Source organism: Homo sapiens, chromosome 9, assembly GCF_000001405.40.
Source record: "Homo sapiens chromosome 9, GRCh38.p14 Primary Assembly".
Classification (NCBI taxonomy): domain Eukaryota; kingdom Metazoa; phylum Chordata; class Mammalia; order Primates; family Hominidae; genus Homo; species Homo sapiens.
The window spans coordinates 86,764,727-86,767,142 of NC_000009.12; positions in this window are offsets into that span (position 1 = coordinate 86,764,727).

Here is a 2,416-nt window from a genome sequence, read left to right on the forward strand (position 1 = left end):
AGGCCAAAAATGGATCTGCGCACATGCCAGGATCACTTGCAGATGTAGGGTTGAAAACATTTGTTTCACAGGACTGACACTATAAATAGGATTCTCGATGTGGATCAGCAGGAAGGCAGCAGTTTCCATGGGTGGCCTTGTCTCTATGGCAGAGATATTTCCCAGAAGCTCGCACCAGTGGGGCTGGCTCTGGATCCAATGAAGCTGCCGCGTCATCACTGTGACATGGCTCACAACTGCTGGGGTGCCAAGCCCTTTCCCTCACTGCTCAAAGACACATCTGGAATCATCTCCAGAAACTTCTGTGACAGGCTGGGGGCCCTCATCCGTTGGCGGCACACCATGAGTGTGACTGCGCGAATGTGTATAGTGTGTGAGTATGTGTGTGTATATGTGAGTGTGTGTATATGTGGGTGTGTATATGTGTATGAGTGAGTGTGCGTCTGTGTATATGCGTGTCTGTGTGAGAGCGTATGACTGTAAATGAGTGTGTTTGTGTGTGTGAGTGCCTGAGTGTAGGTCTGTGTGTGTGTGACTGAGTGTGCAGGTACATCTGTGTATGCGAGTGTGTATATGTGTGTGAATGTGTCTGTGTGAGAGAATGTGTGTCTGTTTATATGGGTGTCTGTGTGAGAGAGTGTATGACTATAAATGAGTGTACTTGTGTGTGTGAGTGCCTGAACGTATGTCTGTGTGTGTGTGACTGAGTGTGCAGGTACATCTGTGTATGTGTGTGAGCATGTATGTGTGTGTGTCTGTGTGAGACAGTGTGTGACTGTGCGGAATGTGTTTGTGTACATGAGTGTGTGTATGGGGGGGAGTATGTGAGTGTGAATACCTGAGTGTGTGGATGTGTCTGGGTCTGTGTGGGGAGAATATGGGTGTGAGAGTGTGTGACTGCGTGACTGCATATGTATGTGTGTTAGCGTGTGCATGAGTGTGTGTGAGTGTGTGTGGATGTGTGCATGCTGCCCAGGCTGGAGTGCAGTGGCACGACCTGGGCTCACTGCAACCTCCATATCCCAGGATCAAGCGATCCTTGTGCCTCAGTAGCTAAGACTACAGGGGTGCACCACCACATCCAGCTAATTGTGTTGTATTTTTTAGTAGAGACTTGGTTTCACCACGTTGGCCAGACTGGTCTCGAACTCCTGACCTCAAGTCATCTGCCCACCTCTGCCTCCCGAAGTGCTGCAGTTACGGGCATGAGCCACCCCGCCCGGCCTGGAGTGGGAGTTCTGTCCACCTCAGGGTGGGAGGCTGTGGCACAGCTGCGTCTCGCTTTCCCCCAAACTGAGGAAGAGGTTTCCTGTCTGCTCTTGGGCAGAACTGAAAACCTGAGGCTAGGAGAGTAAGGACGCAAAGAAGTTGGAGAGTGGGGATTCACCTGGAGGGTGACAAGGCACACAGTGGAAGCCTGTGGTGGGAGGGGACAGCAGCAGCAGCTGCAGGAGGAGGGGCAGGACTCACCTTGCCCATGCAGGCCTGCAGGAGGAAGCAGGGGAGTGGGAAGGAGAGGGTCACAGCCGAAGGGATTCTTCAGTTCCAGCAGCCCATGAACTGGCAAGAGGAAACAAAAGGGGAACAACAACGCTTCTGTGGGATGAAAGGCTGGTGAAGCAGAGCGGTTGAAGGCTTGGTCTGGAAGCTGGTTATGATAAAACTTTCACATGGTTGGGAAGAAACCCTGGGCCTCACTTGCTGTGTCCCCCAAATGTTTCTTTCCCTTCCCAACTTGGAAATAAATGAAGGCACTGTGTGGGGTTCTCTGACATTCACTATCTCATAGTCAAGCCTCACAAATCTTAGGACCGTTTTACAAAAGGGGAGATTGAGGCTCACAGAGATGAAGTAACTTGCCGAGGGCATAGGGTAGGGTCATAAGCCCAGGTCTCGGGGACGTGCCTGGGCAATGGCAGAAAGTCCCCCTTGCGCTTTTCTTGGGTAGTAATGTAGATATTCTTAATGTCAAAGGGCATCTTCCTCCTCTTGTGACACAAACACCAAGTGCTTAATTTGGAAACTGTCGTAGACACTAAAATCCACTGTCTCATTTGTTCCTCATGATCTTGCAAATTAGCTATCATTACCCCATTATCTGAAGCAAACTGAAGGGACTTCTCCAAGGACACACAGCTATGTCATGCTGGAGCCAGGATTCAAACCCAAACCCATTTTGCCCATGCTCTGGTCTACTGCACTATCCTGCCTTCCTCATGGGAGAAAGGGCTCCTCCCACTGACTCCCTGCCCCCCTTTTGGCTCTGCCCACGAAAGGAGGTGCATTGCACCCATGCAACAATGCTCATTGCTCATTACTCACGGCCTCCCAGGCCTCCCAGTGATTAAGCCCTTAGAACTTCCCTTCGGCCGCGGGTGACATCATTGCATAATTAAGGTGACTGTGATGCCCAACT